At 36.1% G+C, this 12,861-nt stretch overlaps 1 protein-coding gene across 12 annotated transcripts in view, besides 2 other annotated features; it reads right to left on the bottom strand.

The window, feature by feature from the left end:
- RAD51B (RAD51 paralog B) overlaps window positions 1-12,861 on the bottom strand; it is an 863,318-nt gene that overhangs the window by 482,534 nt on the left and 367,923 nt on the right. The window lies entirely within an intron of this gene.
- Window positions 5,145-5,345: a silencer, noted in NCBI's record as "peak2183 fragment used in MPRA reporter construct". NCBI's record gives its function as "represses an SCP1 promoter by STARR-seq MPRAs in K562 erythroleukemia cells {active_cell/tissue: K562}" and the evidence as "EXISTENCE:reporter gene assay evidence [ECO:0000049][PMID:32103011]".
- Window positions 8,377-8,671: an enhancer, noted in NCBI's record as "tiled region #3110; K562 Activating non-DNase unmatched - State 24:Quies". NCBI's record gives its function as "activates a minimal TATA promoter and a strong SV40 promoter by Sharpr-MPRA in K562 cells {active_cell/tissue: K562}" and the evidence as "EXISTENCE:reporter gene assay evidence [ECO:0000049][PMID:27701403]".

Below are 12,861 nucleotides of genomic sequence, written 5' to 3'. Positions count from 1 at the left end.
TCATAAAAGGAAGGGTCTCTGAGGATATTAAGTTAGAAGAGAACACATTTGCAAAATTATATTCCTCAGCATTTTTTGCTCTGTTCAAGAATTTTCCATAGTAAAATGTTATGCACATTTTTCCCAATTTTAAAATGAAGTTTTAGTGGGTAATACTTTAAATAAAAGCAATAACATAGCACTGTTCACTGCCTTCTCCAAGAATGACAAGCTCCATCTTTTCAAAGAGAGGTAAGAAGGAAGTGGTTAATATTGCTGTAATAATCCCCAAATCAAAGCCACCATTTGCACTGCCTATGTTCTTGGGCTCCCCCATGCCAGACGCTGAGATTGCCTTCATGGACAAGGAAGGTGCCACAAAAGAAATGATTAAAAAAAACTAGAAGACGATTACTCCTTTGTGTCTTCTGCCTGAGAGCCTGAAATCTGAGCAGAATTCATCTCTGTTTCTCTAATGAATTCCTCTGCTGCTGTCATGCGGTTAATTCTCCGCATTTTCTACTACCCTGATTATTAAATGAAAAAAAGAAAAAGCAAAAAGGAAAAGGAGCCAGCCAATATAAACATCAAAGGGTACTCCCACTTCTGTGGCATTCAGATATTTTCCAGAGCTCGACTGTGGGGACAAAAGAGATTGGCGGGTTGCTGGGGAGTTGTTTTCTGTTTCCTCTGGGAGACAATGGGCCAAACCTGCCAGACAACGCTACAGTGCAAGTAGGTGGCGTATCACCATGCAGCAAAGGTTTTCTCAGTGAAGCTGGATGTTCCCTTGGCTTAGCCAAGACAGACCCAAGCTATTATTGAATGGCAGTGGGTGGAAGATGAGACCCAGGCCCTCCCTAGAGGGAGAGTGGCTGTAGACATCCTCTATTGGGTCTCGGACCAAAGAACTGAAGGGGGAGGACGGAATGAGATGAAGGAGGGAGGCAACTTCAGAAACTTAAAACCAGCACATTTTCATTTCCTGAACCTAAAGCAAATAACTGTTTGTGGTATTCACTGGAGTCTGAGTTTTTTCTTTTGTCAAGCCTATAGACTCCACAAAAGACTGACTAGAAGATTGGTCTGAAGTTCTGAGACTGAATGGGAATAAATGTAAACTCTATTACATGAACACAAGAAAGAAAACTATTACAGGCCTAAGTTCAGGATGAAAGAATGAGCAGTCTGAATAAGAGTTCATGTGAAAAAGATCTAGGGGTTTTAGCTGACAGTGAACATTACATGAGCCAACAGTGTGACTTGGCTGCTGAAAACCCTGATGATATTTAAGGCCAGATTAGCAGAAGTATAGTGTTCAGAGTAAGGAAAAAAAATAGTCTTTCTGTGCTCTGCACTGGTCTGGACACAGTTGGAGTGTTGCTTCTATTCTGGATGCCAAAAGTTAAAGAAAATACAGAAAACTGGAGCATGTCAAAAGAGTCAGAGAAAGAGAAAAGATACAAAAATCATGTCATGCGAGGAATAAGTAGAGAAACTAGAATTGTTTCAACAAGAAAAAAGAATTCATTGGGCAGATTAGCTATCTACGAATAGCTGGAGGGTACTCTGTAGGAGAGAGGGCAAACTCATCTCCATGACTCCAAAGGGCAGACAACAGGCAGAAAACTAGCTCAATATAAAAAGAACGTTTCCAACAATTCAAACTGTCCCCAAATGGAATAGGGTGTTTTGTGTAACAGTTATTTCTCCAGCATTGGAAGAGTTCAAAGTCTAATGAACATTTGCCAGGGATTTGTAATTGAGCATTCCAGCATTAAGTGGGAGACTGGTGTCAATGTCTTATTAAAGTCTTTCAAACTTCAAGGCTGAGAACTGCATAATAATATAGAAATAATAATAAAAATCAAAGGTATCTATTATTGACTTAATATATCAGCCAAAAATTTATTCATAGTCATTCAAAATACCATCACAATCCTCTGCACTGAGAACCATAAGATATTTCTGAGTGAAATTAAAGGAGACCTAATCAATTGGGAGAGAAAACATGATCATGGTCATGGAAAATTCCATATTATTAAAGATGTCAATTCACCCTGAGTTCAACACAGATTCATTACAATCCCAGTGAAAACTTAATAGTTTTTTCTCAAAATTTTCAGGCTGAATCTAAAATTTATATGAAGTGCAAAATATTTATACCAAAAAAATTGATTTTTTAAAAAACTCACAAAGTCAGAGAACTCGCACTACCTGATATTAAGACTTAGTATAAAGCCTCAGAGCCTAAGCAACATAGGAGTGGTGTAAAGATAGCAAATCCTGCTGTGGAACGAAATGGAGAGTCCAGTTAGAGTAAAGCATATGCAGTAAATTGATAATTTTTACAAAGGCTCCAAGATAATTTAATAAAAAGAGAAAACCCTTCAAAAGATAGCTAGAGAACGCTGGAAAAATATATGGGAAAAAAATGAACCTTGATAGCTACCTCATGACACACATAGAGATTAATTCAGGATTGATCATAAACATAAGAGATGAAACAATAAAGCTTCTAGAAAAAGGTGTAGAAGAAGATTGCTGCAACCATGAGGTTGACAAAGATTTCTTTAAAAGGCTATAAAAAGAACTAACCATTTTAATTAAAACTTGCTCAATAAAGACACCAGTAAGAAGGTAAAATGACAAGCCACGGACTGCGAGGACATAGTTATAGTACATATATCTGAAAAAGGACTTATATTCAGAATATATTTTTAAAAACTTCCAAAACCAACAATAAAAAGACAAACAGCCAATAAAACTGATCAAAAGATTGAAGAAACACTTCACAAAAGAATATGTGAGTGCTTAATAAGCACATGAAAAGGTATTCAATATCATTAGTCATCAGTGAAATCAAAATTAAAATTACAGTGCAAGACTGTTTCAAGCTTACTGGAATGTCTAAAATTAAAGAAAAAAGCTCTTAGTGAAACTGTAGAACAAACATAATTATTTTATATTTCTGTTGGTAATGGAAAATTTGTATAACCTACTTTGGAAACAGTTTGGCACTTTATTTTAGAGTTAAACATTCGTCTATCCTCTGACCCACCAATTTCAAAAACAGAACTTGTATAAGCATATTCATAATGGCATTATTCATAATAACCCTAAAGTGAAAATTACCCACATATCTATCCCTAAAAGAATGGCTAAAAAGTAATTGTCTTATATTTTTACAATGGCATACTACTCATTACTAAAAAAGGAATTAACAAAAAATACACACAAAACATGGATAAATCTAAAAAGAAAGGCCGTCTGAAAGAAGCCAGATATCAGTGCTTGATTTCTACGTATGTGAGTTTCAAGCACAGGAAAAACTAATCTGTAGTGATAGAAATCAGAAGAGTGATTGCCTAAGGAGGCTTGAGATTGACTGGAAGGGAACACAAGAAAATATTTTTTTCAAAGCTCATTGAATTGTCCACTTAAGATCTGTGCATTTCAATCTCTAGAAATTTTACCTCAATAAAAGAATAATATCTCTGCTTCCTTTAAAAAAAATCATTGCATTTCCTTGAGTTAGTATCATGAGTAAATAAGGAAAACTTCCCTCCAGTTAGAGTCTTAAACTAAAGAAGCCATTGTTTATAGGATTTCCAGCATTCTAATACCCTTTCTAAGATGTTTATTAACCTGTTTTGTCTTTTAGATACCTGTCTTCAAACAAAGTATACTCCATGTCAAAAGAGTAGAACTCCTTGAGAATAAAGTCTATGTTTTATTCACCTTTGTGGGGCAAGCATAGCATTTGATCCAAAGTTCATACCAAGAATATTTGCTGATTATGCTAGGACTATACCAGGTATTGTAGATATAGCAATAAACAAAACAGATCTGGTCTTAGATATTGGGGAACCTGTAATCTAGTGTGGGCCACTAATATTAAATAAAAAAGTCATACAAATAAATATATAATTATACAATTATAATAAATACAGTGAATAAAAAGAGGAGGAAGAGGAATTATAAGGGGAGATCTAATTTTCTTAAAGGAGTGATTTTTACACAGAGACCCATAGAATAATAGCAATTGGCAAGGTGAAGATTGGGGAAGGAAGACTATTATTCCATGGAGAGGAAAGAACCTGTGTGAAGATGTGGAGAAGTAGGAAAGAGTGAGGAGGAGGCAGAGTGGGACCATGCAGGACTTTGTAGGCCATACAATGATTTCTACGTTGAATTCTAAAAGTACAACCAGAAGCCAATGAAACATTTTAAGCAGGGAAATAATATAAACCTATCACCCTGGCTTTAAACAACCTGTGTTTAAAAGTATTAGAACAGTAAATTTCACATCATTAATGGATCATAAAGTGAATTTAATTAATCATGCCCAGCAAGAAAGCGACAAAGGAATATAATTTTTTTTTTTTTTTTTGAGATGGAGTCTCACTCTGTCGCCCAGGCTGGAGTGCAGTGGCGCAATCTCTGCTTACTGCAAGCTCCAAGCGATTCTCCTGCCTCAGCCTCCCAAGTAGCTGGGACTACAGGCGCCTGCCACCACGCCCAGCTAATCTTTTTGTATTTTTAGTAGAGAGTGTTTCACCTTGTCAGCCAGGATGGTCTTGAACTCCTGACCTCGTGATCCACCCAAAGTGCTGGGATTACAGGCATGAGCCATTGCACCTGGCCCCTAATTGTTGTTTTTTTTTTTTTTTTTGAAACAGAGCTCTGCTCTTGTGGCCCAGGCTGGAGTGCAATGGTGTGATCTCGGCTCACCACAACCTCTGCCTCCTGGGTTCAAGGGATTCTCCTGCCTCAGCCTCCCAAGTAGCTGGGTTTACAGGCATGTGCCACCATGCCTGGCTAATTTTGTATTTTTAGTAGGGACAGGTTTTCTCCCTGCTGGTCAGGCTGGTCTCGAACTCCTGACCTCAGGTGATCCACCTGCCTCAGCCTCCCAAAGTGCTGGGATTACAGGTGTAAGCTACCATGCCCGGCCAGGAATATAATTTTTAAAAATATCAAAATGCATGATACTGAGAAAAGATACGTATTATTCTGTTAATCTTTGATTTTGGATTTACTTATAGATACATAGCAACACAAGTATGTGTACTGGGAGTATCATGGATGTATTTTTTAATTGTAGGTCATCCTCAAAAAAGTCTGAAAGCTGTTAATTAGAGGTAAGTAAGAGTGGAAACTGGGAGAGCAGTTAGGAGGTGACTGGAGAAGCTGAGATGGTAAATATGTTGACAGATTTAATGCTCATTCTGGAGGCAGGCATTTGAAAGGACTGAAACAACAGGTGGTTGTTTGCATTTGGAGGGCAAATGAAAGGGACATGTCAAGGATGACTCAGGTTTCCAGCACCCATTAACTTGAAAAATGAACGAATGGGAGTGAACAAATGAGTAAAGATGGCATAGTAAATCTAACTAAAATTGTAGTTTTCTTCAAATTTAACTATAAAATAAAATCTATTCTAATTATTTAAAATAGTAGAAACTTTTTCCCCCTTGGTTTCCCCTCACAAGGTTTTTAGAGATATGGCCCAGGTCTTCTTCAACTTCATATCCCCAGGTCCTACCACAGTGCTTGCCACCAAGTACATACTTCGTTATTATGTGCTGAATGAATTAATGAATGGAGTAAAATAAAAACAAAAAAGTGGTCTTAGGAGAAAATAAAGTGTTCTATAGTTCTTAAGGTCAAGGAATAGCAAATCAACTTAGGATAGACTTTTCTTCTAAGTTGCCACTTACTGATCAAAAGCCACATTTTATAAAACTAAAGGAAGAATATCTTTAACATTATAATCATACTATAAAAGTATTCTTCCCCCTTGTACTTCTAAATATTAATAAATCTCAAAAGTCCTCTTTTACCACACTGTCATATCTCATTCTCACTCTGTGTTTACAGATTTGCAAAAGACTCAAAAAGTTCTCAGATCACAGTTATAAACATTACTCAGATTATTCCTGTGTATTTGGTAGAGGGCAGATATAATTCTCTATTTAAAACAAAATAAATGGGTCATGGACAATATTCAAGAAACTCAAAGCTACACAGCAGCTGAGTTCACAGTAATCCGTCCCTGGCCTTCTGGTTTGTAGTTAGCCGTGTGGCACTTTTATTACTCCCTAACTAACACCATTTTTTTGTTGATCCTGATAGTTAAGAGTTGTCTATTCAATTTTCACTCCCTCAAGGGCAGACACCATGTCTTCTACTATTACTGTATTGTCCATAATGTTTAGCAGTCCTGAACACAGCAGACACTTAATATTTCTTGCCTGGAATAGCAGTAAAATTAAAACAAACATCTCCTAATTTAGAGGTTAAACTAGACTCTGCTCCCTTCATCAAGCTGTACTGGTCTTGCATGCAAGTTTTATCTCCAGTAGTCCTTGCGTTCCATTACAAAATAGCAATTGCCTCTTCTCAAAATGAAAAACATTTTCCATTGTGTAAGTTATACTTGCAACTATGATGTTGAAATGTTCCTCAAGTGATGATTTTCATCTATGCTGCAAAGGAAAAAAGTGTAACTCATAAGCTTAATTCTTAAAACAAATCCAATAACTGTCATTGGTCCTAGACAGCCCTCTTAGCTTGTTTGTTTCTTTTAATGTCCCAGGCCATTTCTCCCAGAATTCGTGGTAGTAAACAGTCTAATGAGTGTGATCACAGAGAGACTACTGCTGGTATAATGAATGTGATCCCCATTATTTCTAACAGATAACATGCCATCTTACAGAAAAAAAAGCGTTGAAAGGTGGTAGAGTGGAAGCCATTGGTTAAGAAGTTTGAAGGCGGGCTAAATTAACACATTCAATCAGAAAAGCTTGTTCCCAGCATTCTTGCCTCAACTTGACTTGGTCAAAACAGACTGGTGAATGAGATTAGGTATATCATCTTGTGTTCTGGCTCACTGTTCACCTTAAATTTTGAGTATCTTTGAAAATCACAAATTATTACAACACTTCAGTCACTAAAAGTTTGATGTAATTGTTTTGAGAACAATACTGACTACTTTAAAGAGAATTTTGAATTTTACCAAGTGTTTTTGCATCCCTTTAGCCCTCTGTAGCAGTTCTGATAAATCTAAATATCATTGTTTCCATCCAGTTATGAGAAAACAAGAGATGCATGCAATTTTGTGCCAAGCCAATTATCTGGAGGCTGCTTGAAGATATGGTCCCAGACCTCAATAAGTTTGCTTCTTGTTGAGGGAAAAAACATGTACAAAATCAATTAAAATACAAGGTACAGTGAACTAAGTGCTTCAGCAACAGGTCAAATAAAGTGGTACAAAGAGCAACATTTAAGTCCAAGTAGAAATCAGGGAGGAAATTTAATGATATAAGTAGCATTTGAGTGTTGTCTTGAAGGATGTCAAGTATTGTAATGGAGATGAGGAAAGAATTCTAGTCTGGGGTAACAACACTATCCAGGCTATAAAGGGTGCTAAGTGCATGCTGTATTCAGGGAAGCACATGAAACCTGTGTGGCTGGAGGGGTCACGCGGGATCAACAAGTGAAGAAGAAAAGTTTACCTGAATGAGATCCACAAAAATGTTATCAGTAAAAAGTATGAATTTAAAGTTTGGAAACATTTTGAGTGTCTCAAAGAAAAGAGCTGTGTACCAGCTTTTGTGTTACATTGCAATTTAGGATGAAGCTGACAATCAACACATTTGAAAATATAACCTATCACTAAATTCCTTGATCAGAAAAATCAATTTACGTAATTATTCCAAAATCCATTCAGAAAATGACCCTATTCAAACTCCTGGATATGCCAATATTTTAACAAGGGTAACTCATAAGATGAATTCTCATAAAATAAGGGAGGATTTAAAACCAAAAAGTTAAAAAAGGAGAGAGAGATTGACTTACATTTAAAATCTCATTCATCAGGTTCAGGACCAGTAAAAAGGGCTGCACAAAGAGCTCTGGTCTGTTTACCTTAACATCAGCAGAGACATATTGTCACAAATAGAAAACCTGAATTCTGGATAGGAAAGTCTGTTTTCAGAGAGCCAACATATAACTTCTGATGGCTGATATTGAGATTCAATCAAACTTGGCACCAATTAAAAGACATTGTTTGGAGAGCACAGGCTTAGTGTTTCTATTATCATCAGCTGAAATATAAAGATTATAATTTGATCTTTCAAATTTGGAATAGAAAAATCTGTTTTCAGAGAAGCCAACATATACTATTTAATAACTTTTGCAAGGCAATATAAACTTCTCTTCTTTTCACAATGAAACAAGAAGGAGCACCCAAAGAGAAGACCTCATGAAAGGCTCCTTTCAAACAGTGGCTCTTGCTGTGTCCTCTTGATTAAGGGCTCATAAATAAAAGGACACAACAGCTGCAACTTATGATTAACCATGGTATAGTATTTCAACCAGTGAATAACATTACAGTTATTAGAACCAACAAAACTCCTTATATTCACTCAATACATGACCTTGGCTTTGTCTGGCCTGTAGGTGACCTGAATTGAAGAGAGATGTCTGGGTTAAAATTTAACTTAGAGTCTGAAAAGCTATGTCACATGGCTGGGAAGTCAGTAATGTTGCAATTTCAGGAAACACCCTCCTTTAAATGTGATTGGATGGTATAAAGGTGAATCTGAGTGTATCTGAGTATATCATAAAGCTAACTAGTCAGACTTGGACAGCCCTTGAATGATGTCCAAACATTTGTGAACAGTCTGAGTAAACCACTCAGGTTATTCTTACACAACCAAGGTAACTTTACTGCCTGCCATGGGCAAGTAAGTGCTCTCTAGATTATAGTTGTAAACAATTCTCAAGTGATTAATGACACATATTCTTTCTCTGCCCTCTACTGAGGGCAGAACTCTCTTAAGGAAAACAGAAAAAGTCTTCACCCTTTGATTTACAGGCTAAGACCAAAGCAATCTGAGTTTCCTCTAAGTATGAGAACCTATTCTGAGTAAGACCTGGGCTCCCAAGAGAGACCACAGAAGACAGGAAGAAAGGGTCTTCCATTATCTCCTTCCCTAGAAAGTATGCACTGAGAAGCTGCTAATGTTCCCCAAGTCTCAGATGGGTTCAGGACCGAATTCAAAGAAATATTTTCCCCATGACCATAACAGATGAAAACTAAAAGAGTATGACTTTTCTCATTTTAATTGGTAAGTAACCATATCACTTAGTTCTTAGACACTTTCTTATCATGGGGCCTCAAGTTACCTTTTATTGGGTTGTCCTACTAAATGACCTGATCATGTAATGGTTTCAAACTCTGTTATACAGAAGCTCAAGTTTCCATAAAGCAAATCTATGGCCTCCACAGAAACCATGATCCAAACACATATGCTTAATTTTTGTCAGTTAATCACCAGTTCATATGTTAACCCTGCAACAGAAGTTGGGTTTCCAAGCATGAATACTTAATTATTTAAGCAATTACATTTCTTCTCCCATCTCTGCCAAGAAAACACTCGATTTCTCTAAAAATGAACAATAACATTTATTTAACACAAGTACTTTTTTATATTTATAACATTCTTTTAAGAAAGGATATTGTCTCTTTTTTTAAAAAAAAGCTTGTAGTAATATAGCATTAACTAACAGCATTTAGATAATTAACATTGGGAAATAAAGAGATGCATATTTCTCAGGAAAATGGAGTTTGCTTGAATCTTCCATTTCATTATTACTCATAAAATGTAAAACACTAACCACATGAAGAACTTAAAATTCATTAGACATTATTTAAATCAATGGGATAAAATGCTAGCTTCTAGAGAGAATATAGATCATGATGTACAACAGTACTGAGCACAGATTACATCCTAAATGGACACTTGTTAAATTAAGACAATTAACCATAAAAGTAAAAACTAACTTTTTAAAAATGGAGTCAGGAAAATTTTAATCTGAACTTTTCATCTTGATGTCTCCAGAATATAGAGTACATAGAATATAAAGCATATAGAATATAGAGTGCCTTGGATATAACAGGCATCAACAATGACTGATTATGTGAATGAATGAGCTTATTGATTAATTAATGGAAGAAGGGCAACTGTATACTAAAATTAAGATAAGCTGAGAAGGGATAGGGTCATTTAGGTTACTGAATATAGTAGGAAAAGATGTCCATTTGGTGGACATGTTTTTTAAATCTGTTTTTCTATACATTTAAAACTCTGCTTATACATGTTTATCTATTTATACATTTTTAAAAATCTGTTTCCATATATACTTTTCAAAGAACAATTTAAAATCTGAATCAATACAAAGTAAAGATATTTCAGCCTTGATTTTCTAGCACAAAAAAAGTACCTGGACCAGCCTTTTAAGTAGGGAAATGTGTTTATTTTCTTTGAGTGCCTAATGTAAATTAAAGGTATTGATTTCAGGATTATCTTTCAAGGAAACTACTAAACTCTTTTGTTGAATCAAATTACTCCGAGCAAGTTTTCTACATCTAGCTTTTAGAAAACATGCATAAATATCATTTCCTTTAATATGTCAGCAACTTTTAGTGGGAGAATTTTGAAATTAATTTGAAATTATTTTGAAATTAATTTGAAATCATTCCACTTCTTTAGCAATGGTAAAAAGCATCTTTCAAAAGGAATATTTAAGGGAATTTAAATTTAAGGGAGGCCAGGTGCAGTGGCTCATGCCTGTAATCCCAGCACTTTGGGAGGCTAAGGCAGGTGGATCATCTGAGGCCAGGAGTTCAAGGCCAGCCTGATCAACATCGTGAAATCTAATCTCTACTAAAAATACAAAAATTAGTCGGGCATGGTGGTGGGTGCCTGTAATCCCAGTTACTCAGGAGGCTGAGACAGGAGAATTGCTTGAACCCTGAGGCAGAGGTTGTAGTGAGCCGAGATCATGCCACAACATTCCAGCCTGGGTGACAGAGTGAAACTCCATCACAAATAATAATAATAATAATAAATTTAAGGGAAGGGGTAGTTGCTTTTTTTCTATAAGGAATAAATAGTGAGGAAAAGGAAGTTTGATCCTAACCATATCTCTCTGCTGTTTAATACCTCAAGTCTTAAGATTTATAGTTTCTAATAAAACATTATCAAGTGAGTAGAAAAATGGATGAAATTTGTTTTTAGTCACTGATCTATAATTGCCACTAGGAAATCAATATTTTAGGTTGAATCTCTCAACTTTTGAGATTAGTAGCAAGACAGTAAACAAATATTACTTGGTTTGAAACATCTACAAAAAAATACTTGTTAATGTCCCCTTTCCATAAAGAAATAGACACTAGATGAACTGAGGAAATTATGTAGTGGTCGCTCATATTCAAGTACTTATTGAGTACCTCTGGTGATATAAGAATGACTAAAATATTGTTCCTACCCTCTGAAGGCTCACAGCCCAGGTACAAATTCAGACCTGGCAAATACATCAACTGTATACTTATGATTTGTGTACTTTACGATATGTAAATTATATAGTAACAAATATATAATATTAATTATTGTAAAATATAATACATATGCAGCAATAAATTACACAATAAAAAATTAAAAGAAAGATTAGGACTGGTAAGGTAAGTTAAACTATAGCAGCAGAACCACTACAATAGAAGTAGAGAACAAGGAGGAGGAGTTGTGCCTAGGGGGAGGAGCAAAGCCTTATCAAAGAGCTATAAACATACGAGTTTCACCAAGCAGAGAAGCTGGCAAAAAGCATCCTAGTGGAAGAAAAGTCGATGCAAAACACAAGGATGAGGAACAGCAAGAAATCAGTGTGTCTGAAGCACATACATGGCTAGAGAGGTGACCCAAGAAAATCTTACAAACTAAGAGAATAAATTTGGATTCTATTCTTTAGAGAAGAAGTCAAAAGAAGTCTCTAAATAGGAGAGTGACTAGATCAGATTTGTTTCTAGGTGGATAACTCATTCCACCTTTCCAAAACAGAGGAGCATCACCTCTAAATTCCATTTGATTTCACAAGTTCATTGCTAGAAAGAATGTCAGTGTGGAAAAAATTGCTTTGATGAAGTAATCAATTCACGATTCCCATTATCAACACAACAATCACAAGTAATGGATTGGCTAATACAAAAGTAGAGCCATAGACAAACCTAATATTGTTGCCTATAGCAACTGCTTCTGAAAGATCATTCCAAAAAACTCTTTCTTACCTAAAAGAAGAAGAAAGAAGAGGAGAAAGAAGAAAGATGGGAGAAAGGGAAGGGGGAGGAGGGAAAAACAAGGAGAGAAGGGGAGAAAGGAGGAGGGGGGAGGAGGGACAGAAGGGAGGAGGTAATGGAGGGAGGAGGAGGAAGAAAAAAAGGAAGAAGGGAAGAAGGAAAAAGAAAAAAGAAGAACAACAAAGAAAAAAAAAAAGAAATCACTATCCAGCTCTCCTTTTTAACTTTGTAAGACATGTACCACTGAAATCACGGACTAAATGACTCTGAAAGAATATGAAAAATTAAGACAACTGGTATTACAAAGGGTTTTATAAAATATGTCCAGGCCGGGAGTGGTGGCTCAGGCCTGTAATCCCAGCACTTTGGGAGGCTGAGGCGGGTGGATGACTTGAGGTCAGGAGTTCAAGACCAGCTTGGTTAACATGGTGAAACCCCATCTCTACTAAAAATACAAAAATTAGCTGGCCATCGTGGCGTGCACCTGTAATACCAACTACTCAGGAGGCTGAGGCAGGAGAATAGCTTTGACCCAGGAGGTGGAGGTTGCAGTGAGCCGAGATTGCGCCACTGCACTCCAGCCTGGGTGACAGAGCAAGACTTCACCTCAAAAAACAAAGAAAAATAAACAAATAAAATAAAAATATGTCCAAAATGTATTAAGAGAAAAAGATGCAAAACAGTATATAATATATAAACACATTCTTTGTGAAGCAAATGAATACTAAATATGTTAATAT

This window comes from Homo sapiens, chromosome 14 (genome assembly GCF_000001405.40).
Source record: "Homo sapiens chromosome 14, GRCh38.p14 Primary Assembly".
Lineage (NCBI taxonomy): Eukaryota > Metazoa > Chordata > Mammalia > Primates > Hominidae > Homo > Homo sapiens.
This window is presented reverse-complemented; position numbering and strand designations above follow the sequence as displayed.